This window comes from Homo sapiens, chromosome 7, assembly GCF_000001405.40.
Source record: "Homo sapiens chromosome 7, GRCh38.p14 Primary Assembly".
Lineage (NCBI taxonomy): Eukaryota > Metazoa > Chordata > Mammalia > Primates > Hominidae > Homo > Homo sapiens.
In genome coordinates, this window is record NC_000007.14 from 135,025,438 (window position 1) to 135,052,254 (window position 26,817).

The 26,817-nt window shown below is 34.5% G+C and overlaps 1 protein-coding gene across 14 annotated transcripts in view; it reads left to right on the forward strand.

Moving 5' to 3' along the window:
• The window catches only part of AGBL3 (AGBL carboxypeptidase 3), a 149,271-nt gene that overhangs the window by 38,930 nt on the left and 83,524 nt on the right, over window positions 1–26,817 (forward strand). For 5 of the 14 annotated variants that reach the window (NR_144293.1, NM_001345853.1, NM_001345852.1 and 2 more), the window contains 2 exons: window positions 18,588–18,714; window positions 20,037–20,137. Coding sequence is in view for 12 of the 14 variants with exons in the window: in NM_001345853.1 (NP_001332782.1) it covers window positions 18,588–18,714; window positions 20,037–20,137 (228 nt within the window). In the remaining 2 variants the exon portion in view is untranslated. Of the gene's footprint in view, window positions 1–7,406; window positions 7,546–8,711; window positions 9,492–11,980; window positions 12,160–18,587; window positions 18,715–20,036; window positions 20,138–20,361; window positions 20,475–25,584; window positions 25,718–26,817 lie in introns of those variants that run through there. The other 9 variants (XM_047420319.1, XM_047420322.1, XM_047420321.1 and 6 more) reach the window with 5 other exon arrangements.

The following is a 26,817-nucleotide window of genomic DNA, read 5'->3' on the forward strand; positions in this document are numbered from 1 at the left end:
CCAGCCTTACAAGATGATATGGAAATAAAAGAATGATACCTGCTACCACAAAAACATGCTTAACCATATAGCCCACTGTAAAGCAGTTACACAGTCAAATCTACATAGCAACCAGCTAATAACATGATGACAGGATTAAAATCGCATATATTAATACCAACACTGAATGTAAATGGTCTGAACAGACCACTTAAAAGGCATAGAGTGGCAGACTACATAAAAAGACAAGACCCAACTGTTGGCTGTCTTCAACAGACCCGTCTCATATGTAGTAACATCCACAGGCTCAAAGTAAAGGGTTGGAGAAAGATCTACCAGGCAAACAGAAAACAAAAAAGGCCAGGAATCACGATTCTTATATCAGATGAAACAGACTTTCAATCAACAATAATCAAGAAAAAGAAGGGCATTACATAAACAGTTCAATTAAACAAGAAGTCTTAACTATCCTAAATATATATAAACCCAACAATGGCGCATCGTTTCATAAAAGTTCTTCTTGACCTATAAAAAGACTTAGCCACACAATAACAGTAGGAGACTTTAACACCCCACTGACAGTGTTAAGATGATTGAGACAGAAAGCTAACAAAGAAATTCTAGACTTAAACTGGACACTTGAGCAACTGGACCTAATAGAACACCCAGCAACCACAGAATATGTATTCTTCTCATTTGCACATGAAACATATTCTAAGATCAACCACATGCTTTGTCATAAAGCAAGACTCAATAAATTAAAAAAAATTGAAATCACCCCAAGCACATTCTCACATCACAGTGCAATAAAAATAGAAATGAATACCATTATTTTATTTTATTTTATTTTATTTTATTTTATTTTATTTTATTTTAGAGATGGAGGCTTGCTCTTTTGCCCGGGCTGGAGTGTAGTGGCACAATCTTGGCTCATTGCAACCTCCGCCTCTTAGGTTCAAGCGATTTTCCTGCCTCAGTTTCCCAAGAAGCTGGGATTACAGGCGTGCGCTACCACACCTGCCCAATTTTTGTATTTTTAGTAGAGACAGGGTTTCACCATGTTGGCCAGGGTGGTCTCGAACTCCTGACCTCAAGTGATCCACTTACCTCGACCTCCCAAAGTGCTGGGATTATGGGCGTAAGCCACCATGCCCGCCAGTGTCTTTTATAACTAGGAAATATTTCTTTTTATCTCTGGCATTACATCATGTCTTTATGTTGTTTGAGAGTAATATAGTCAATACCAGTTTTCTTATGTTTACTGTTTACTTAGAATAACTCCCCGTTTTATTTTCAATCTTTTTATGAAATTATATTTTAATTCTATCTCTTATAGATAGTATATAGTAGTACCTTACTTTAAAAAATCTAATCTGACAATCTCTGCCTTTTAATTAGAGTGGTTTGACAGTCTGCATTTCGTGTATTTGCATATATGTTTGGGTTTGGCTCTATCTTATTAATTGGCCCATCTCATTTTTATTCCTCAGTTACTCCTCTTTTTGGGAAGGTTAATCAAACACCTTTTAGTATTTCATTTTAATTAAAATATTTTCTTAGGTATACCTCACGTTTAGTTTGATTGGTTTAGAAATTACAATATACAATTTCTTAAAGTCTATTTTATTTTACTTTTTATTTGAATTTTTGGAGACAGAGCCTCGCTCTGTCACCCAGGCTGGAGTGCAGTGGCATGATCTCTGCTCACTGTAACCTCTACCTCCCAGGTTCAAGTGATTCTCCCACCTCAGCCTCCTGAGAAGCTGGGACTAGGGTGCGCACCACCATGTTCGGCTAATTTTTTGTATTTTAGTAGAGATGGGGTTTTACCATGTTACCAAGGCTGGTCTCAAACTTCTTAGCTCAGGCAGTCCACCCACCTTGGCCTTCCAAAGTGCTAGGATTACAGGCGTGAGCCTCTGGCCTTTTATGGTCTATTTGAAATTAATATTATACCTTTTTTTGTTTGTTTTAAATGGGTCAGTTGCCTTTAAAGAAATTAAGAGGAGAAAAAATTGTATTTATATTTATTTATGTATTTACCATTTCTTCTCCTCTTTATTCCTTCCTGTAGATCTGAATTTCCATCTGGCATCATTGTTTTTTTATCCCAAAGAACGTCTTTAGCATTTCTTTTCAGTTTTAAGTTGGCTGGCAGTGAATTATTTCAAATTTCATTTGTCTAATCCTGTATTTTTTCCACCACTTTTTGAAGGGCATTCTCAATGAATATAGAATTCTGAGTTGGCTTTTTTTTCTTTAAAGATATTTTTCCATTGTCTTGTAGCCTCTGTTGTCTTTAATAAGAAGACAGCCATAGAATGTAGTTAAACAAGAATATATTGTACTCAGGAGATGGACACCCTAAACACCTGGACTTGATCACTACACATTACCCATTACATACATATAACAAAATTTCACATGAACCCTATATATTTGTACAAATTTTTAAAAAGAATTCAGCCATAATTTATACAACCATGCCTCAGAGATGCAGGTTTAGTTCCAGACCACTGCAATAAAGTGAATCTCTCAATAAAGTAAGTCACACAAATTTTTTGGTGGTGTCCAAGTGGATATGAAAGTCCATTAGGTGTGAAATAGCATCATGTCTAAAAACAACAACATCTTTGCCCTAATTAGAAATACTTTATTGCTAAAAAATTAAAATTATCATCTAAGCCTTCAGCAATTCATATTCTTTTTGCTTGGTGGAGGATTTTGTCTCAGTGTTAATGGCTGCTGACTGATCAGGGTGGTGGTTGCTGAAGGTAGGGTGGCTCTGACAATTTCTTAAAATTAGACAGCAGTGAGTCAATTAGACATAATTGACTCTTCATGAAAGATTTCTCTGTAGCATGTGATGCTATTTGATAGCATTTTACCTACAGTAAAACTTCTTTCAAAATTGGAGTCAGTCCTATTAAATCCTTAGTTTATAACTAATATTATGGAATATACTAAATCCTTTGTTGTCATTTCAACAATCTTCACAGCATCTTTACCAGTAATAAATTTCATGTTAAGAAACCACTTTCTTTGCTCATCCTTAAGAAGCAACTCTTTATCCAATTCAAGTTTTATTATGGGATGGAAGCAATTCAGTCACATCTTTAGGCTCTACTTCTAATTCTAGTTCTCTTGCTATTTCCACCACATCTGCAGTTACTTCCTCCAGTGAAGTTGTGTAGCCCTCAAACTTATCCATAAGGAATGAAATCAACTTCTCCTAAACTTCTGTTAATATTGGCATTTTTGCCTCCTCCCATGAATTACTAGTGTTCTGAATGGCATCTAGAATGGAAAATGCTTTCCAGAAGGTTTTCAATTTACTTTGCCCAGATCCATCAGAGGAATAGTAATTCTCTAGGCCAGCTATAGCCTTACAAAATCTATTTCTTAAATAATAATACTTGAAAGTTGAAATTACTTCTTGATCCATGGGCTGCAGAATGGTTGTTTCGTTAACAGGCATGAAAACAATGTTAGTCTCCAGTGCATCTCCATCAGAACTCTTGGGTGACTAGATGCATTGTCAATAAGCAGTAATATTTTAAAAGGAATCTTTTTTCTGAGAGGTCAGTCTCAATAATGGGCTTAAAATATTTAGTAAAGCATGCTGTAAACAGATGTGGTGTCGTCTAGATTTTGTTGTTTTGTTTATAGAGCACAGGCAGAATAGATTTAGCATAATTCTTAAGGGCCCTAGGATTTTCAGAATGGTAAATGAGCATTGGCTTCCACTTAAAGTCACCAGCCACATTCACCCCTAAGAGGATAGTCAGTCTGTCTTTGAAGCTCTGAAGCAGGGCATTGACTTGACTTCTCTAGCTAGGAAAGTCCTAGATGTCATCTTCTTCCAATAGAAGGCTGATTGTCTACATTGAAAGCTGTTGCTTAGTGTAGCCACCTTCATCAATTATGTTAGCTAGAACTGGACAACTTGCTGAAGTTTCTGCATCATCACTTGCTGCTTAACCTTGTACTTTCATGTTATTAATATGGCTTCTTTACTTAAACCTCATGAAGCAACCTCTGCTAGCTTCAAACTTTTCTTCTGCAGCTTCCTTACCTGTCTCTGCCCTCAAAGAATTGAAGAGAATTAGGGCCTTCCTCTGGATTAGGCTTTGGCTTAAAGGAATGTTATGGCTGGTTTGACCCAGACCACCAAACTTTTTCCATGTCAGCAATAAGACTGTCTTATCATCTGTGTGTTCACTGGAGTAGCACTTTTAGTCTCCTTCAAGAATTTTTTTCTTTGCATTCACAACCTGGTTAACTGACACAAAAGGCCTAGCTTTTGGCCTATCTTAGCTTTTGACATGCCTTCCTCACTAAGCTTAATCATTTTTGGCTTTTGATTTAAAGAGAGAGATGTGTGACTCTCCACTTGAGCACATGGAGGCCATTGTAGGATTATTAATTGGCCTAATTTCAATATTGTTATGTCTCAGGGAATAGGGAGGCCCAAGGAAAGGGAGAAAGATGGGGGAATGGGTGGTGGTGGAATAGTCAGAACACACACAGCAATTAAGTTCACCATTTTATATGGGTGCAGTTTGTGGTGGCCCAAAACAATTACAACAGTAACATCAAAGATCACTCATAATAGATATCATAATAATGAAAAAGTTTTAAATGTTGTGAGAATTACCAAAATATGACACAGAAACACAAAGTGAGCACATGTTGGAAAAATGGTGCTGATAGACTTGCTCAACACAAACCTTTAATTTGTTAAAAAAAAAAAAAAAAAAGAAAGAAAAAAAACAGTATCTGTGAAGCACAATAAAGCAAAGCACAATTTCACAAGGTACGCCTTTATCATTGTTTCCTATACAGATATTCTTCAATTTACATTAGGGTTACCTCTCAATAAACCAATTTTAAGCTGAAAATATCATAAATCAAAGGTGCATTTTCAACTTGTGATATTTTCAGCTCATGATGGATTTATTGGGTATAACTTCATTGTAAGTCAAGGAGGGTATTGAATGTGTATCACTTTTACACCATTGTAAAGCTGGAAAATCATAAGTCAAACCATCATAAGTAGGAGACCATCTGTATGTAATGTGTCTTTTTCTCTTTGGCTGTCTTCAGCAATTCGACTATGGTGTGCCTAGATTTGGTTATCTTAATATTTATCCTGCTTGGAGTTTGCTGAACTTTTTGGATCCATAGGTTAGTAGGGGTTTTGCACCAAAATTTGAGAAAATTTCAGCCATTATTTCTTCACATATTTTTTTCCATACCACTCTTTCTTTCATGTTTTTTAGAATTACACATATGTTGGATTCTAGATACGTCCCCCCATGTCACTGGATATTTGTCCATTTTTTTCCCTGTCTTTCAGTTTGGACAATTTTTATTTGTTTCCAAGTTCACTGATTATTTCTTTTGCAAGCTTTAACTCTTCTTTTTAAAATTTTCAATTATAAATTGGCAAATTATAGTTGTATATGTTTATGGCATACAAAATGATGTTATGATTTATGAATATAGTGTGGAATAATTAAATCTTCAGCCCATTTGGTAAATCTTTCAGTTATTGTAGTTTTATTTCTAGAATTTTCATTTGGTTCAGTTTTGTTTTTTTTGTTTTTTGAGATTTCTTATCTGTTTTCTCATGATCTCTTATCTTTTCATTTTTTGTCTTTGAATATATATTCAAAGTCCTTCTCTGTTAATTCCAACATTTGCATTATCTTGGAGTCTGCTGAATTTTATATGTATTCATGGATCACATTTTCCTGCTTCTCTGAATGCTTTACGTTTTTATCATATGTAGAACATTGTAAAAGATATGTTTTAGGGAGTCTGTATTATATTCTTTTATTTATTTATTTATTTATTTTGAGATGAAGTCTCGCTCTGTCGCCTAGGCTGGAGTACAGTGGCACAATCTCAGCTCACTGCAACCTCCACCTCCTGGGTTCAAGCGATTCTCATGCCTCAGTCTCCTGAGTAGCTGGGACTACAGGCATGCACCACTACACCGGCTAATTTTTGTATTTTTAGTAGAGATGGGTTTTTACCATGTTGGCCAGGTTGGTCTCAAACTCTTGACCTCATGATCCACCTTCCTCAGCCTCCCAAAATGCTAAGATTACAGGCATGAACCACTGCATCCATCGTGTATTATGTTCTTTTAAACATTACGTTGAATTTTGTTCTAGCAGGCAATTAAATTGCTGGCAGATCATTTTGCTTCTTTCAGGCTTGCTTTGATTTTGTATAGAGGCAGGTCTGTTTTCATTTTATCCCCAATGCTAGGTCATGACCTTTACTCTTGAATGTGGTCCTTATGCCTAAGATGCAGCCTTTCTGGAGTCACAGTTGAAAGCCTAAGGTATTCCATAAAATCTTTCCACTCTGGATAAGTTGGAATTCTAATATATCCCAGAAGTGTATGTCCTCTGGCATCTCAGCCCGCAGTGGTGCTCTCTCCTGTCTTTCTTAGTCTCATCTTTTGACTGGGTAGCCAAACCCTCATCCAAGGACTAGGAAACCGCTATGTAGACTGTTGAGGTTCTCTCTCTATGTAGCTTTCTTTTCCCTGGTGTCCTGACCCACAAATTTCAGCAGCCCCAAGCAACAATCTTTCCTCTTCAGCTGAAGACTGTCATACTGTTCTAAAATGCCACCTCCCTAGGCTGTAGTCCAGCAAGTACCCCTATGCAGCAAGCCAGGGCTCAACATGGGCTCACTTCATGTATTGATCTTCTTTCAAAGATCCTACATAGTTGTTCTATTTGTTGTCCAAATGCGTGAAAACAGCTCATACCCTTTAGCCAGTTTTACAGTCATTTATGGTGAAAGGGCAAGTTCAGAACCAATTACTTCATCATGACCAGAAATGGAGTGAATTTTTTTGTTTTTTTGTTTTTTTGTTCTTTTTTTGAGACAGAGTCTCACTCTGTCGCCCAGGGTAAAGTGTAGTGACGCGATCTCCGCTCACTGCAACCTCTGCCTCCCAGGTTCAAGCGATTCTCCTGCCTCAGCCTCCTGGGTAGCTGGGACTACAGGCACGTGCCACCACACCTGGCTAATTTTTTTTTTTTTTTTTGTATTTTTAGTAGAGACAGGCTTTCACCATGTTGCCCAGGGTGGTCTCGAACTCCTCGAGCTCGGGCAATCTGCCTGCCTCGGCTTCCCAAAGTGTTAGGATTACAGACATGACCCACTGCGCCTGGCCAAATGAGTATTTTTAATGTAAGAAATATACAAATTTATTTTAGGCATTGTTTTTCTAGTCTAAATACTCTTAGATTCTCTTATTTCAACATGTCTATATAAATTAGTGTCCAGTTACTTTAAAATTTACAATCCTTACACTTGTACTATTGCTCCAAACTCTGTGCAGAATAACCTTCTTACTTTAGGTATACCTTGACATCTTTATGATCTTCTTCTCTCATCAGCTTACAAAGAGCCCTGTTTTGTGTATTCCCGAGTTGGGGGTAACCGAACACCTTTGAAGCAGCCTGTGGATTACCGTGACAATACTTTGATGTTTGAAGCAAGGTTTGAGAGTGGTAATCTACAGAAGGTAGTCAAAGTGTAGGTTCTAATTATTTTTATTTAAGGAGCTAGACCATCAACTATTATTTTCTGTATCAAGTACATTAAAGTTCTTAGTATCCATTATGAAACTGTAATTCCTTGAAGTATGGATACTATTAATAATTAGAAATTGTTGTGGAGGAGGGGAGTATAAAAGATTCTGAGTTCAAATAATTTTGAGAACTATGAGGTAAAGTTAAGAAGGCTTCTGTACTGTACATTTTCAGTATGGCAATATGAATTGTCACACACACAGTGCTTCTCAAACTTTGTATTGAAATAGTTCTTGGGATGAGTGTTCCATAGAATATCCCAAGGGCATTATTTTATTTAAAAATATTATGGAAATATTTAAACATACACTTAAGTACAGAGAATAGTACAATTCTGTGTCCATGGCCACATACCTATCACCTAGACTCAACAGCTATCAAGGTTTTGCAACATTTATTTTACCTGTTCCTAGGTGATTATTTACAACTGTACACATACACATTACATGCTAAGTGCAGAGTGCTTATAGAATAGAAAGTTACTTAGTAGAGAAAAATAGTCACAACTAACCAGATAATATTGTTATGTATATAAATAACATTCCAGTGAAATTATTATTTTTGCCTTTATTTAAGCATCTCCAAAGACTAAGTAAAGGGATGCAAATAGTTATCGAATGCAGTTCTTGTTCTCAAATAGATCAAATTATGTAATCTATGTGATCATATTAATTTATATGTGTTTAAATCTCTCAGTGATAGTTATTTTATATCCCTAGTATTAGACTGTAATAGATACATATGTCTGAAGTAAAAAAAGAAATGTTGGACTTTGCTTCAGTTTTGGTAACTCTTTAATCATTTCTTATATAGAAAACATAATTAGGTTGAAATATATAAACTTTTATCAAATACCTGTGTTTTTATGTGCTCTCTTGAATTACCAAGGAATACAAAGGATTTAGAATTAGCATAGAAGCAGTTTCTCATCCAATAAAAGGGAAAATTTCAAAACTTTTATCGTTTACATTGTTTCCTAACAAAGCTTTCTGTGAATGAGTAAAAATAAAATAATTTTCCTTATTTAACTCAAAATTTTACATTGGTTTTTTACAAAATGTCATTTTTACATTCTTACGTGCTTTTTTCCCTTTCTTTCTTGTGTATTAGGGCAGAATACGAATACCAATTGACTGTACGCCCTGACCTCTTCACAAATAAACACACCCAGTGGTACTATTTCCAAGTCACTAATATGCGAGCAGGAATAGTCTACAGATTCACTATTGTCAACTTCACCAAACCTGCTAGTCTTTACAGTCGGGGTATGCGCCCACTGTTCTATTCTGAAAAAGAGGCCAAGGCTCATCACATTGGCTGGCAGAGAATAGGAGACCAAATCAAGTATTATAGGAACAACCCAGGCCAAGATGGGCGCCATTATTTCTCTCTTACATGGACATTTCAATTTCCACACAACAAAGATACCTGCTACTTTGCTCATTGCTATCCATACACTTACACCAACCTGCAAGAATACCTTTCTGGCATCAATAATGATCCAGTACGGTCAAAGTTTTGTAAAATACGTGTTTTGTGCCACACGCTTGCTAGGAACATGGTGTATATTTTAACAATCACTACCCCCTTGAAGAACTCTGACTCAAGAAAGCGGAAGGCTGTGATTCTGACTGCAAGGGTCCATCCAGGGGAAACCAACAGCTCTTGGATCATGAAAGGCTTCCTAGATTATATTTTAGGAAACTCAAGTGATGCACAGTTGCTTCGGGACACTTTTGTCTTCAAGGTGGTACCCATGCTCAATCCAGATGGTGTGATTGTGGGAAATTATCGCTGTTCCTTAGCTGGACGGGATTTAAACCGTAATTATACATCTCTCCTGAAGGAATCTTTTCCTTCTGTATGGTATACCCGGAACATGGTTCATAGGTAAAATAAGCCTCAAATTACCTCTGTGCTTATTTAGTAAACTTGGTAGTAACAATTTTGCTCCCACAATCTCATTCATTTTACTGTAACTTCTCAAGATAGTCTAACTACTGTATAACTACTTTATTTTTTCCCCGTTATTCACAACTGTGATTCTATACCCTTCTGTCATTATGCCACTGGATTCACTAACCTCCCCTTAAATAACCTCCCCTTAAATAATGAAACAGATTCTAGAATGTTTTGATGACTTGATGAAACTAATAAGCTTGCATATCCCAAATTTGGCTTCTTGCTAAAGATAATGGTAGCACTGATGTTTAAAATAATTTTTTTATAAATATATATATTTTATATACATGAAACCGTTGGCTTCTCTCTCTAGAAACTCTTTTAAATGTCAGTTAGTCTCTGAATGTCTTGTAAGAAGTTTAAGGCAGGAGTCTATTCAGCAAGTTTCTAAAAGACTTCCAAGAAAGAGAAATATCTTAATCCGGTTAATCATACACAGGTAAGTAGGATAAGAAGTCAGTCACATGTGTGTGGAAAGGTGAGCAGCTGTAAGTATATATAAGATTAAGTATATTTAAAGCATATTAGAATAAGAGAGTAGATTTTTGTATAAAATACTTAGTATAACATAAGTAGAATATCTTTTTACCCATAAAGATACCTATGAGTAAAATCTTATACTAAGTATTTCTGTTTACCTATGGGTAAAAAGAAAATCCAAACTGTTTCTAAAGTTATTCAAATTAATCTAAGATGAGAGACCCTAATATCCTGTTTCACTTCAGAAGTAATACCATCTCTTTGGAAATTAATCTGTTAGAAGTAAAGTTCCTTTTGACTTGCTTATAAGAAACTGAAAGACTGAGAAATTTGTGGCTTAAAAATGTACAGCATGTTTCATATTTAAGAACTTAACTTGATATTCATGCCTTATAATCTAGTTAGTTTTCTAGAAACTTGTAACTATCATTTAGTGGCTTTATATCAATCTTATGTTATCAATGAGAATTTATTAGGCAGCAAATGAGAAAAGGGCAATAAATTAACACATAATAAATTTTAGTTTGTAATTTCACTGTAGTTTAAAGCAGTATGGTTTCTAATAGAAGCAAAATGCTTTGAATGTTTATATTTTAGGTTTTAGTATTTTTGTTACAAATGTAATATATTTCATAATATTATAAATACTATTGCTAACATTTTGGTGTTTATCTTTCCAGATATAGCAAATAGTATATGTAATTTTGATTAGTTAAGTAATAATCCTACCACCTTAACACCACGCTTTCTTACTTTTTAAAGCCTTTTCTATTAATATTAGTCATTTTATCAATCAGTTTGAGGGACTTATTTTTTGTTTTGTTATTTTTATATTGAGTGTTAAATTATATAGACCAAAGGTTGTGCTCTTCAGGAATGTGTAATTTTTTTTAGATATTTGTTAGAAATTTATCAGAAAAAGTCAATTCAAACTTTGGTACCATTTTTCTCAAAATAATAACTTAATCACCACACTAATCAAGGGTTAAATATTAATTGGCTTCAGCACCAAGTCATCAAGCACTCAATTTTTAACAAATATTTGGGTACTTATTATGTGCATAGCACTGTTCTAGATGATTTGAAGCATTCCCCATTCTTAATAAGCTTGAATATGAAAAATATAAAAACTTTCCTAGACAAGGGCCAAGCAAATGGTACCAATATCTTTAAGTGCTACCGAAGCTCAATAAGAGAAAGCTCTGTGGCCTTGACAAATTAGAAAGGAAGTGAGACATAAGGTCAGTATTGAAGGATGGCAGGTAGTATTTACATTTACAAAGATAGAGAAAGAAGATATTTCAGTCAGAAAGAAAATACGTGAAAGGTAATGGGCAAAGGCAAGAGTGAAAACATCAAAATAATAAAGCAGAGAGATCTTGTTGGAGAAAGTCTTGGGAGTAAGGTAAATTTTGTCCTTATAATGGAAGGCTACTGCATGCAGACTTTTTTTTTAGACGGAGTCTCACTCTGTTGCCCAGGCTGGAGTGCAGTAGTAATGCTGTCTTCGCTCACTGCAACCTCTGCCTCCTGGGTTCAAGCAATTCTCCTGCCTCAGCCTCCCAAGCAGCTGGGATTACAGGCATGTGCCGCCACACCCAGCTAATTTTTGTATTTTTAGTAGAGAGGTGGTTTCGCCACATTGGCCAGGCTGGTCTCGAACCCCTGACCTCAGGCAAGCCACCTGCCTCAGTCTCCCAAAGCATTAGGATTACAGGCATGAGCCACTGCGCTCGGCCTGCATTCAGATATTTATATAGTTAATAAATTATTGTAGATTTAAAAAATTGTATATTAATAATATGCAATATAGATAAGAGAAAGCTAGGATATAAGAAATTGTATTTATTTGGATATTACACTTATAAATCCATAGTTGTACCTATAGAAGAAAAATGCAGAGATAAAAGTTAGTAACTTATCTTTCTTCCTGGCAGACTGATGGAGAAACGAGAGGTTATTTTATACTGTGATCTTCATGGCCATAGTAGGAAAGAGAACATCTTCATGTATGGCTGTGATGGTAGTGACAGATCTAAGACATTATACTTACAGCAACGAATCTTCCCACTTATGCTAAGCAAAAATTGTCCAGATAAAGTAAGCACCTTTTAAGGTATTAACTTTTCCTTTATCAAATGTTGCCCATGTGAGATAGCAGAATGGCCCACGTGGATAATACTATTCCAAACTGCTTTTTTTTTAGTTAGTTTGACCAGTTTATACAATTGACAATAAGAAAGCAACTATATAGAACTACTTAGTGAGCAATAATTTGAAAATATGGGGAAAAAAGGCAAAAATGCCCCCAAACCTACCACCATAATACCACTGCTCTTTTACCTTTTGAAAGCTTCCTCTATTAGTCATTTTTATCAATCAATTTTAGGGGTTTTTTTATTGTTTAAATAGTCATTGAGTGCCTAAATTATACAGATTAATTTCTTAAGAAATGTATATTCTTAAGAAATGTGTAACAGTTTCTTCAAAGTATTTATTAGAATTTTGCCAGGAAAAAACTTAATCCAATAACCAATATTTTTAAAATATATAGAAATTAGAATGAGAAAAGAATAAAGTATATTATTATTTTCACAAACTATGGAAATATTGGAGCCTCATTTACCAAGATGTGAAAATTATATTTTAATCATTCTTTAGGGAAAAGATGTTAACATAGCAAAGAAAATTCCTGCAGACTTTCCTTTAAGTTCTCAACCAACAAATTCAATTATAAAGGACTTACTGGAGAAGAACTAATTGTCTTTTGGGGATAATTGGGGCCCAAAGACATAAAAAGGAAAGGATGATCTGATAAAAATAGCTATTTAAAGAAAGAACAGGTTTGTTCGCCAAAGAGGATTCATTTCCTCAGCAAGAAAGACGGGAAAACCCAAACCCATAGCTGAAGCTATTGCTATGTAAATTTATACTGTCAATACTCTTAGGTATAGTTTATTACTCCTATAAAATAATTCTGTGTTACTAAGATATTTTGATGTTTGTCTATTGACATGCTTCTTAGGGTTTTAGATCTCTAACCTGTTGTGCCTTAGATGAAATGGACCAATTTCTTAAATAACTCAAACCACCACTCTGCAGCTTAAACAGGCCTTCCACATCATCTAAAGGTTGCTTAAAACATAGAGGCTCCTATTTCTAGGTTTTCTGTTAAATGTTTCTTATAAAAATCTTTTTGGGCCAGACGTGGTGGCTCACGCCTGTAATCCTAGCACTTTGGGAGCCCGAGGCGGGTGGATCACGAGGTCAGGAGATCGAGACCATCCTGGCTAACACAGTGAAACCCCGTCTCTACTAAAAACAAAAAATTAGCTGGGCTTGGTGGCAGGTGCCTGTAGTCCCAGCTACTCAGGAGGCTGAGGCAGGAGAATGGTGTGAACCCAGGAGGCGGAGCTTGCAGTGAGCCGAGATGGCGCCACTGCACTCCAGCCTGGACGATAGAGCGAGACTTTGTCTCAAAAAAAAAAAAAAACTTTTTGTGAAAATCCACAATTATAGTTGGAGATTTTAAATACCTCTTACATTAATCTGGAACTGGTAGATAGACAGTAGGCAAGGATCAACCAACTGGATTTGACATTTATAGGACACTCTACTAAACAGCAGAATACACATTATATTCAAATGCACATGGAACACCACCAACATAAATCACATCCTGGTTTAAAACAAATACTAACAAATTTAAAATAATTAATATCACACAAGTATGTTTTTAAGCATAATGGAATTAAACTAAATCAATAAAAGAGGAAAATCTACAAACATGTAGATATTAAACCACATTTCTAAAAAATCCTTAGGCCCAAGAGGAACTCTTAAGGAACATTAGAATATAGTTTCACCTGAAAGAAAATGAAAATATGTAACATGAAATTTTATGAAATTCAGCTAAATAGTAGCACTTAGAAGAAAATGTATAGCAAGAAATGCTTATATTAGAAAAGAATAGGCTGGGTACAATGGCTCATGCCTATAATCCCAGCACTTTGAGAGGCCAAGGTGGGCAGATCACTTGAGGTCAGGAGTTCAAGACCAACTTGGCCAACATGGTGAAACCTCATCTCTACTAAAAATACAAAAATTAGCCAAGCATGGCAGTGTGTGCCTGTAATCCCAGCTATTTGGGAGGCTGAGGCAAGAGGACTGTTTGAGCCCAGGAAGCAGAGGTTGCAGGGAGCCAAGGTCGTACCACTGTACTCCAGCCTGGGCAACAGTGTGAGACTCCATCTCAAAAAAGAAAAGAACAAAGGTCTTGAATTAGTAATCTAAGTTTTCACATTAAGAATAGAAAAAGAAGAGTAAAATAAACCAAGCAGAAGGAAGCAGATAATAAAGAGAAGCAGGTCAATGAAATTGGAAAATGAGAGACAATGAAAAAAAATCAATTAAGCAACATTTGTGCTTGGAAAAGATTGGTAAAACTGACAAAACTTTACCAAGATTGATGAGAAAGTAGGAGGAAGAGAACGAGGAGGAGGGGGAGGCAATGATGGCACAACTTACCAATATCAAGAATGAAAGAGAGGTATCACTACAGACCCTGCAGGCATTAAAAGGACAATAAGGGGAAATTCAATTCTATGCACATAAATTTAACAACTTAGATGAAATGAACCAATTCCTTGAAAACTACAGACTACCAAAACTCACCCAAGGTGAAATAATCTGAATAGTCCTGAAAAGCATTTCAAAAAGAAACTCCAGAAAACAAATATCAAGATCCAGTTGGATTCACTGAGGCATTCTACCAAAAATTTAAAGGCAATCTTTCCCGGGATTACCATGATACCAACACAAGACAAACATAGTACAAGAAAAGAAAACTACAGACTAATATCCCTCATGGACATAGATGCAAAAATTCTCACCAAAATATTAGCATATTAAATCCAGCAATATATAAAAAGAGTAATAGACCATGACCAGATGGGGTTTATCCCAAAATATAAGGCTGGTTTCATATTTGAAAATTAATCATTGTAATCCACTATGTTAAGAGTTGAAAGAAGAAAAACTGTGTGATCTCGTCAATTGATATAGAAAAAGTTTTTAACACAATTCAGCATCTTGTTATGAAAAAAAAAAAACTTTCAGCAAATAATGAATAAAAGTGTACTTCCTTAACCTGATAAAGGACATCTACAAGAAACTCTACAGCTAACAACATAGTTGATGAAAGACTGAATGTTTTCTGCCCAAGGTCAGGAAGAAGACAAGAATGTCCACTCTTCCCCACTTCATGCAGCCTTGTACTGGAATTTCTAACCAGTTCAAAAAGGCAAAAGAAAGGTGAAGGCAGACAGATTGGAAAGAAGTAATGACAGTGGCACAATTATCTACACAGAAAATCCAAAGTGATCCATGCACACACACACACACACCACACACACACACACACACAAAACTAGAACAAGGGAATTTAAGCAAGGTCGTAGGATACAAGATCAACCCACAAAAAACAATTGCATTTCTGTATACTCACAATGAAAAAATTGGAAACCAAAGTTAAAAACAATACCATTTTTATCTTAGCTTCAAAATAAATACTTAGTTATAAATCTAACAAAATGTACAGATTCTATATGCTGAAGCCTTAAAAATGCTGATGAAATAAATCAAGGGCCCAAAGAAATGGAGACAACGTGCTGTATTATGGATTGGAAGACTAAACACAGTAAAATATCAACTCCCCAAGTTGATCTGTAGATTTAACAGAGTTTCAGACAAAATCACAGCATAATTGTTTATAGATATAAACAGGCTGATTCTAAGATGGATAAGGAAATGCAAAGGAACTAGAATAGGCAAAACAATTTTAAAAAATAAAGTTGAAGGAATCACTATCAAATTTTATGACAGTATAAAACTACAGTAATAAAGATAGTATGTTAATAGGAACTGTGTAAACACCAAAAGCAGTGGTACAGAATAGCAAGTCTAGTAATAGACCCATATACATATGGCCTTTTGACAAAGGTGCACAGGAAATTTAATGGAGAAAGAAACATTTAAATAAATAAGTGTCGGAACAATTGAACATCCATCTAAAAAACAAAAAACTTTCACCTAACCCTCAAACCTTAAATGTAAAACTGTAAAACTTTTAGAAGAAAATTTTTATGACATGGAATTAGACAAAAATTTCTTAGAAAATACCAAAAGCATTATCCATTGGATGGTAATGAATTGATAAATTGGACATCATCAGAATTAATCCTTTTGCTCTCTTAAAGATCCTGCTAAGCGAATACAAAGATAAGCTCCAGGTAGAAGAAATTATTTTCAATCACATATCTCACAAAGAACTTTTATCCAGAATAACTGAATAGTAATAAAACAACCCAATTAAAAATGGCAATAATCTTAAATACACACATTTCCAAAAAGGATATGTGAAGGCAAATAAGCACATGAAAAGATGTTTGACATCAGTAGCCCTCAGGGAACTGCAAAGTAAAACCATGAGGAGATACAATTATATACCTTTAGAATTGCTAAAATAAAAATACTGACAATCCCAAGTTCTAATAAGAATTTGGAGTAACTGGAACTCTCATACTATACATTTTTGTTGGGGATGCAAAATGGTATATCATTTTGAAAAGTAGTTTGTCAGTTTCTTGTAAATTGTACACTTATATGATCCAGCAATCTCATTCCTAGGTATTTACCCTTGAGAAATGAAAAGGTACATTCATATATAAACCTGTACACACAAACATTTATAACAACTCTATCATAATTGCCAAAAGCTGCAAACAACCCAAAATGTCCTTTAACTGGTAAATGGATATACATTTTAGTACACCCATACAATGGAATAGTACTTGCCAATAAAAAGGAATGAATATTCACACATGCAACAACTTGGATAAATCTCAAAAGTATTAGGTTAAGTGAAAGAAGCCAGTCTCAAAAGATTACATTCTATATGATTCCATTTATATAGCAGTCTTGAAAAAGCAAATCTATAGTGACAGAGAGCAAATCAATGGTTGCCAGGGGTTAGAGGTGGCAGGAGGGTGTGACTATAACTATCCTATTAGGATAATAGAACTGTTCTGTATCTTGAGTGTGATGGTGGTTACAGGAATCTATATGTGTGTTAAAATTCATAAAATGAGGCTGGGCACAGTGGCCCATACCTGTAATCCCAGCACTTCGGAAGACCAAGGCAGGAGGATGGCATGAGGCCAGGAATTTGAGACCAGCCTGAGCAACATAGCAAGACCCCATTTCTGTGAAAAAAATACAAAAATAGCTACGTATGGTGGTAAGTGCCTGTGGTCTCAGCTATTTGGGAGACTGAGGTAGGAAGATAGCTTTGAGCCCAGGAGTTTGAGACTGCAGTGAGCTATGATCGCACCACTGCACTCCAGCCTGGGTGACAGAGAGAGACCCTGTCTCAAAAACAAAAACAAAAAGATGCATAGAATGAAACACAAAAAGTCAATTTTATCGTATGTTACTGAAAAAATAAAATTGCACCTCAAAAAATTTCTTTGTAGACAATCTTTCAGGGCATAATTTCAAATGGTCTTTCATATGAAGATAAAGAATCTTTATTTTTGAACATCTCCAACACTAATCTTCATTCCTAACATGAAGATTGAATCCCTTCCTATAACTTTTTTAAAAGTATAAAATTTTATCCCAACAGCATCAAGAATTAATCAACTTTTGGAAGCAACCTAAGTGTACATTAGCAGATGAATGGATAAAGAAAATGTGGTACATATACAGAATGGGTACTATTCAGGCATAAAAAAGAATGAGATTCTGTCGTTTGCAACAACATGGATGGAACTGGAGATCATTGTGTTAAATGAAATAAGCTAGGGACAGAAAGACAAACTGTGCATGTTCTCACTTATTTGTGGGAGCTAAAAATTAAAACAACTGAACTTGTAGAGACAGAGAATAGAAGGATGGTTACTAGAAGCTAGGAAAGGTAGTGGAGGAGGGCAGAAGTGGAGATGGTTAATGGGTACAAAAAATAAGAACTAGTATTTGATGGCACAAGAGGGTGACTATAGTCAATAATAATTTAATTATACATTTTTAAAAAAGTAAAAGTATAATTGGGTTATTTGTAACACAAAGGATAAATGCTTGAGGTGATGGATACCCCATTTACTCTGATGTGATTATTACATACTGCATATCTCTATCAAAATATCTCATGTACACCCTGTATATATAAACTTACTATGTACCCACAAAAATTAAAAATTAAAAAAGAACTTATTTTGAATATATATGTTACATAAAGATATATACATATCTTTCTATAAAAATAGTAAATTTTATTGCAGGAATTAGAATCTATAGTTCTCAGAAATGTGAACATATCATCCTTAAAATGAGATATTTCCACAGGTCAGGAAATAAAAAGTAGCTCCTGAAGCTTTAGTGAGAATTATAGACTTTGCATAACCACTTTATCATTTTTAATACTACTTTCAAAAAAAGATATCGGTACCAGAACAACGAGTCTCATTTTTATTTGCTGCTTTTCAGTTTTCATTCTCAGCTTGCAAGTTTAATGTCCAGAAGAGCAAAGAAGGAACAGGAAGGGTGGTAATGTGGAAAATGGGAATCAGGAACAGCTTTACCATGGAGGCCACCTTCTGTGGATCTACTCTGGGTAAGACCAAGGGTTCTCATTCACAGCTCTCAAAGCTTTAAACCAAACATGTATAATTTAATGTAAATGTAACAGTACAGACAATAGTACTTTCTTCCTATTTAAATAATACTAATATTTAATCAATTCTATAAACAGGATGAATAAACTCTCAAAATATGGTATCTCTATTTCATAATTTTCCTTTGTTTAGAAAGGAAGATTTAAGCATATAAACAGAATACTCTAATTGGTTGTTTCATATGGTAATCTTTAAATGCTTGTTGTTTTTAAGGGGATATCTACAGATTTTTTAAAAATATTTTTTATTGGATTTGCTATTTGCAAGGCAAAATGGACTTTTGGGGGTCAATATATGTTTAAATGAAAGCACTTGGTTCCCTGAACAAAAATTAAAAGTGTGCTTTGTAGTCCCATTTAAGAAATCTTTTAGTTACAGCTAGCATATCCTAACATGGTTAGAATACTCCATATTAAAATAATTGTCACATTATCAGAAAAATGTATCAACTTAAAGTGCTAGAAATCCATATATGTACTTTTCAGCTTGTTTTTTTTATTGTATTTTATTATTATTATACTTTAAGTTTTAGGGTACATGTGCACAATGTGCAGGTTAGTTACATATGTATACATGTGCCTTGCTGGTGTGCTGCACCCACTAACTCGTCATCTAGCATTAGGTATATCTCCCAGTGCTATCCCTCCCCCCTCCCCCCACCCCACAACAGTCCCCAGAGTGTGATGTTCCCCTTACTGTGTCCATGTGTTCTCATTGTTCAATTCCCACATATGAGCGAGAATATGCGGTGTTTGGTTTTTTGTTCTTGCGATAGTTTACTGAGAATGATGATTTCCAATTTCATCCATGTCCCTACAAAGGACATGAACTCATCATTTTTTATGGCTGCATAGTATTCCATGGTGTATATGTGCCACATTTTCTTAATCAAAGCACTTTGATACTGATATAACATTTGTGATGATGAAAACCTTTTCTCATAAAATCTTTACATGAGTTTTTCTCAAAGTGATTATTACCACTGTTTCTAACTGGCAACCAAATATTCTATAACTGTCTTATTGAATTTTTTTATGCCTTTAAAACATGTACTAATGTATGTTAAATCAGCTTTGGTCCAGATGGTGGAAAAGGAACAAGGGAAAGCAATGAGATGTTAAATGACCTGTCCTGAAGAAAAAAATCTAAAGGATAGGATATGGAATCATATCAATGTTTTGTTTATAGTGTTTTGCAATGTACCTGCTAAGAAAAATTATTAACTTACCCTCAAGGGTGGATAAACTTATTGATGTTTTAGGTAACAAACGAGGCACTCATTTCAGCACGAAAGACCTGGAATCAATGGGATATCATTTTTGTGATTCTCTCTTGGATTATTGTGATCCCGACCGGACCAAGGTAAGCAAAGTCCATTTGGTAATGCATCAGACTCCAGCCTATCAGATAACATAAGCTGACTATGGGCCTATGCAGTGTTTGCCTTTTAATGTCCCAACAGTGTTGTTGGGGTTTTAGCACTTAATTTCCCAGTAACAATTGTTCCAGGTGTCTATAAATACTCAAATAGTTTAATCAGGAAATAAAGTTATTTCATAATGAGCTCATTTATTACTTTTGCCTAGTATTATCGGTGCCTGAAAGAATTAGAAGAAATGGAAAGACATATAACCCTGGAAAAAGTCTTTGAGGATTCAGACACACCTGTGATAGACATTACATTGGATGTAGAGTCTAGGTAACTCAAGGCTGCTGAAGTAATGCAATTTGTTGTGCTGTTTTACTATGTTCTTTATAATTATACCAGCATTTTATTGTCAGTTCTCAACTGAAAATCCCAACTGTAAGTGGTGGAAAATTTCTCCCATGCCCATTATTTTGGCCAGACTTCATTAAGACTTTATTATTTTATTCAAGTAACATGAACATTGCTATGTACAGTGTACTGTGAATAGTGTGTGAAAGACATATGAAATTGGTTTTTGTTTGGTTATTGTTTTCGTTTTTCTCTTTCTTTTTAATAGACTTTATTTTAGCTTTTTAGAGCAGTTTTAGATTCACAGCAAAATGGAAGGGGAAGTACGGAGAGTTCCTATATATCCCCTACCAGAGTGGTACTTATTTACAGTTAATGAGTCTGCAGTGACATGTCTTTATCATCCAAAGTCCATTGGATATATTAGGCTTCACTCTTGGTGTTAATTCTGCAGGTTTTGACAAATGTATAATATATGTATTCACTATTATAGTATCATAGAGTATTTTCACTGTAAGGATTCACCCTAAGAATCCACCTATTCAACCATCTCTCCCTACTAACCCCTGGAAACCACAGATATTTTAAACTGTCTCCATAGTTTTGCCTTTTCCAGAATGGCATATAGGTAGAATCACACAGTATGTGGCCTTTTCAGACTGGCTTCTTTCACTTAGTAATATGCATTTAATTTTCTTCCATGTCTTTTCGTGGCTTAAAAGCTCATTTATTTTTAGCACTCAGTAATATTCCATTGTCTGAATGTACCACAGTTTATATATCAGTTTACCTACTGAAGGACATCTTGGTTGCCTCCAAGTTTTGGCAATTATAAATAAAGCTGCTACATATATCCATGTGCAGGTTTTTGTGTAGACATAAGTCTTTGACTTCTTTGAGTAGATATCAAGGAGCATGGTTGCTAGACTGTATGGTAAGAATATGTTTCGTGGCTTTTCTTCTTCCAGCATTGGAGTCGATTGTTACTTCTTTATTTTTCATTTTATTGTGGTAAGAACACAGTATGAGATATACCCTCTTAAATTATTAACTGTACAATATTTTATTATTTTTGATACAATACTGTAGAGCAGATCTCTAGAGTTTATGCATCTTGCTTAACTGAAAGTCCCATTCCCCTACCACCCTCTAGAAACCACCATTTGACTTTTATTTTATGAATTTGACATTTTAGATACTTCATAAAAATGAAATCATGCAGTATTTGTCTTTCTGTGATTGGCTTATTTCACTTAGTGTAATGTCCTTGCTGTTTATCCATGTTGTTAACTTATTGCAGAATTTCCTTCTTTTTTAAAGCTGAATAGGTACGTCTTATTTTCTTTATCCATTCATTTGTCAAAAGATATTTAGGTTGTTTCTATATAATGGCTATTGTGAATAGTGCTACAATAAAAACAGGAATGCTAATGTCTAGATTTCGGTTCTTTTGGATAAATACCCAGAAGTAAGACTGCTGGATCATATGGCAGTTCTGTTTTTAGACTTTCTGAGGAACCTCTGTGCTGTTTTCAGTAGCAGCTGCACTGTTTTGTATTCCCACCATAGTGTACAAGGTTTTCAATTTCTCCACATTCTCCCTAACACTTGTCTTTTGGTTTTTTGATGACAGCCATCCTGACAGGCATGAGGTGATATCTCATTGTGTTTTAATTTGCATTTCCCTGATAAGCGATGTCAAGCACTTTTTCATATACCTGTTGGCCAGTGTGTCTTATTGTAGAAATATCTATTCAAGTACTTAGCCCATTTTATAACAAAATCAGGTTATAGGGGTTTTTGCTATTGAGGTGAAGGAATTCCTTATATATTTTGTAGACTACCCCTTATTAGATGTATAGTTTGCACATTTTTTTTCCATTCTATAGGCCACTTTTTCACTCTATTGTTTCCTTGGTTGTACAGAAGCGTTTTAGTTTGATGTAGTCCCATGTGTTTATTTTTGGGTTTGTTGCCTATGCTTTTGGTGTCGTATCTATGAAATCTTTGCAGAGATCAGCGCCATGGAGCTTTTCCCCTACATTTCTGGAAGTTTTATAGTTTCAGCTCTTATATTTAAGTGTTTAGCCCATTTTGAGTTGACTTTTTTATATAGTATCCAATTTTATTCTTTTGCATGTGGATAGCCAGTTTCCCACCATTATTTGTTGAAGATATTATTCTTTTCCCATTGTGTATCCTTGGCACCCGTATTGAAGATTATTTGGTCATATATGTGTGGTCTTATTTTGGGGCCCTGTATTCTATCCTGTAAGTATAGATGTCTCTGTCAGTGTCATACTCATTTGATTACTGTAGCTTTGTAATATTAATTTGAAATCAGAGAAAGTGATGACTCTCGCTTTGTTCTTTTTTCTCAGGATTGATTTGATGTGGCTATTCATGGTCTTTGGTGTTTCCATATGAATCACAGAACTCTTTTTCCTATTTTTGTAAAGGGTGCCATTGGGATTTTGATAGTGATTGTATTGAATGTGTAGATCACTTAGAGTAGTATAGGCATTTTAACAATATTAAGTCTTCTGATCCACCAACAGGGGATGTCTTTCCATTTATTTCAGTCTTCTTTAATTTCTTTTATCAATGTTTTATAGTTTTCATTATACAAGTCTTAGTTAGGTTTATTCCTATTTTATTCTTTCTGGTGCTATTGTAAATGGGATATTTTGTAAAATGGGATATTGTAAAAGGGATATCACCTTTTCAGGTAGTTCATTATTAGTATATAGAAACACAATGGATTTTTGTATGCAGATTTTGTAACCTGTAACTTTCTGAGTTTATTGATTAGTTCTCACAGTTGTTTTTTTTTTTTAATGGAGTCCATAGGGTTTTCTATATACATATATAAGATCATGTCCTCTGGAAACAGGGACAATTTTACTTCTTCATTTCCAGTTTACATGCCTTTTCATTCGTTCTCTTGCCTAATTGCTCTGGCTTGGACTTCCAGTATTATGTTGAATAGAAGTGGCAAGGTGAGCATCCTTGCCTTGTTCCTGATCTTAGAGTAAAAGCCTTCAGTTTTTTACCTTCAGTGGCCAGGTGAGCATCCTTGCCTTTTTCCTGATCTTAGAGTAAAAGCCTTCAGTTTTTTACCTTTAAGTATGCTGTTAGCTGTGGGCTTTTCATATACGGCCTATATTATATTGAAGTACTTTCCTTCTATTCTTAGTTTGTTGAGGAAAGGATGTTGAATTTTGTCAGGTGCTTTTTCTCTATTGAGAGGATCATGGATTTTTATCCTTTATTCTGTTTGTATGGTTTATCGAATTAATTGATTTGCATATATTGAACCATACTTGCATCCCAGGGATAAATCCCACTTAGTCATGGTGGGCAATCCTTTTAATGTGTTGTTACATTTAGTTTTCTAGTATTTTCTTGAGAATTTTTGTATCTATGTTCATGAAGGATATTAGCCTGTGGCTTCCTTTTCTTCTGGTATCTTTGTCTAGATCTTTCGTATCAGGTTAATGTGAGCGTCCTAAAATGAATTGAAAGTTCACTCTCCTTCTATTTGAGTTTAAGAAGGATTGGCATTAATTATTCTTTAAACATTTTATAGAATTCACCAATGAAGCCATCTAATCCTGGGCTTTCTTTGTTAAGAGATTTTCGATTACTGATTAAATCTCCATAATAGTTATAGGCCTGTTCAGACTTTCTATTTATCCAAAATTTAGTCTTGGTAATTTGTATGTTTCTAGGCATTTATCTTCTTCTTCCAGATTATTTAGATTGTTGTTATACCACTGTTCATAACAGTCTCTTATGATTCTTTTTATTTCTGTAGTATCAGCTATGAAGTTTCCTCTTTCATTTTTTATTTTATTTGAGTCTTCTCCATTTTTCATAATTAGTTTAGCTAAGAGTTTGTCAATTTTGGCTTTTCAAAAAACTAATTCTTAGTTTCACTGATTTTTTTCTATTGTTTTTCTATTTTCTATTTTGTTTCTGCTTTGATCTTTGTTTTTCCTTTCTTCTGCTAATTTTGGTCTTAGTTTGTTCTTTTCTATCTCCTCGAGGTATAAAATTAGGTCTTTTTTGAGATCTTTATTCTTTTTTAAATATATACATTTATCACAATAAATTTCCCTCTTAGTACTGCTTTTGCTATATCCCATTAATTCTGGTATGTTATGTTTTCATTTTTGTCTCAAATTGTTCTTAGTTTCCTTTTTTATTTCTACTTTGACCCAATGATTGTTCAAGATTCTGCGTTTAATTTCTTTACACTTGAGAATGTGAATATTCCAGTTTTCCTTCTGCTATTTATCTAGTTTCACCCCATTATGGTCAGTAATAATACTTGTTTGTTAAATTTGTTAAGGCTTGTTTTGTGGCCTAACATGTGATCTATCCTGGAGAAAGTTCCAGATGTGCTTGAGAAGACCATGTAGCCTGCTGCTGTTGGATACAATGTTCTGTATATGTCTGTTAGATCCATTTGGTCTATAATGTTGTTCAAGCCCTCTGTTTCCTTATTGATCATCTATGTTGATATTCTATTATTGAAATGAGGTATTGAAGTCTCCTGCTATTATTGTATTGCCGTTTCTCTCTTCGGTTCTATCAATGTTTGCTTTATGTATTTAGGTGCTCTGATGTTTGGCTGCATATATATTTGTGATTGTTGTATCTTCCTAGTGGATTGGCCCTTTTATTTGTTATATCTTCCTAGTGGATTGACCCTTTTATCATTACATAATATCTTTCTTTGTCTCTCATGACAGTTTTTTACTTAAAGTCTATTTTATCTGATATAAGTATAGCTATTCTTGCTCTCTTTTAGTTACCATTTTAGCATGGAATATTTTCCCATCCCTTAATTCAGTCTACGTATTTCCTTAAATCTACAGGGAGTATCTTGTAGATAGATTGTAGTTGGGTCCTCTTTTTTTAATCCATTCAGCCATTCTGTGTCCTTTGATTGAGTTTAGTCCATTTATACTTAAGGTCATTATTGATAGAAGATTTACTATTGCCATTTTGTTGTTTTCTATTAGTCTTACAGTTTTTTTCTCTTTTCTTCTCTTCAAATTATTTCTAATGCTGTCACTACCCACAGAGAACTGACATTTTTATTGAGATGACACAAAAGCAGTATAATAAAAGGTAATGAATAATAACTGGAAAATTCAATGCCACAGGAATATAGTTGGAAGAAAGAATGTACTAATTTTATAAGCTCCCACTTATAGGTGAGTACAGTACTTACAGGAAAGGTAAAACAAATGTATGATTCTTCCCTTATATTTACACATTTTTCAGTCTTGAGTTAGTGCCCCTGCAACCTTCCCTGGTGACTAATATGTTTGTTTCCAGATGCAGAGTATGATTTTGAGCTCGAGTTTGTTTATATAATATTGGATGTGCTCTAATCAATTTCAGTCATTATTACTTGAATGCTCAAATTTTCCCAAACCTCAACAATACAAGACCAATTAAATTGGCCTGTGTTTTTTGACATGACTCTCATAGTCTTCAGTAACTTTCAGCCATGATAAGATTTCCCAGGCTCATCTTGTACATTTCCTGCACCAGAACTGGAATCTGCCATTTCTCTCAGAAGTCCTGGTTCTTTTCAGTAAAAAGGGATATTTAGATAACATAGCCTAGATGATAGTTATTATTGCGTCTAGGTTTTTTTTTCCAGGGGATTGAGTTAGGAAATATGTGTTTTCATGAGAAAAAATCTTCAGTTCATAATTATATTTCCAGTTCAAATTTAAGATTATAGAACTTATTCTTCCTTATTTTTTATACTTGTATCTCCCTTCTCTTATACTGAAAAAATCTTCATTCCTAATTACTTTAGGGTAAATATTCACCTGCTTCTTCCTTTTCCTATCATATACCCATAATAATGCTACCAATAAAATGACTATTGAATGCAGTTTAACATTTCTTTGTAATTCTTTTTAAGCTTAGTATAAAGTATTTTTTAAAAGGAAAGAGATTATTTTTTCTATGTGGCTATGCTACCAGTCTGACAGTTAAGTGTCTTTGTTTTTGATTATATTAACTTTTAGAAATAACTTCCATTAATTTTTTGTTTTTAAATTATATAACACATTTACATAAGAACATCAAAACCATATAACAGGGAACATTCAAAAAAGTGTTGATTCTACCCCATCCCCCCTTCTGTACCCTGTTTCCTCCCTTGTTCCATGGGTAACCATTTTCATTAATTTTTTTTACTTATTCTTTGTTTTACTTCAAAAATATGAGTGAATAACTACATATTTTCATGTCCCTGTACCTTATACGAAAGGTAGCATACCATCAGCATTGTTCC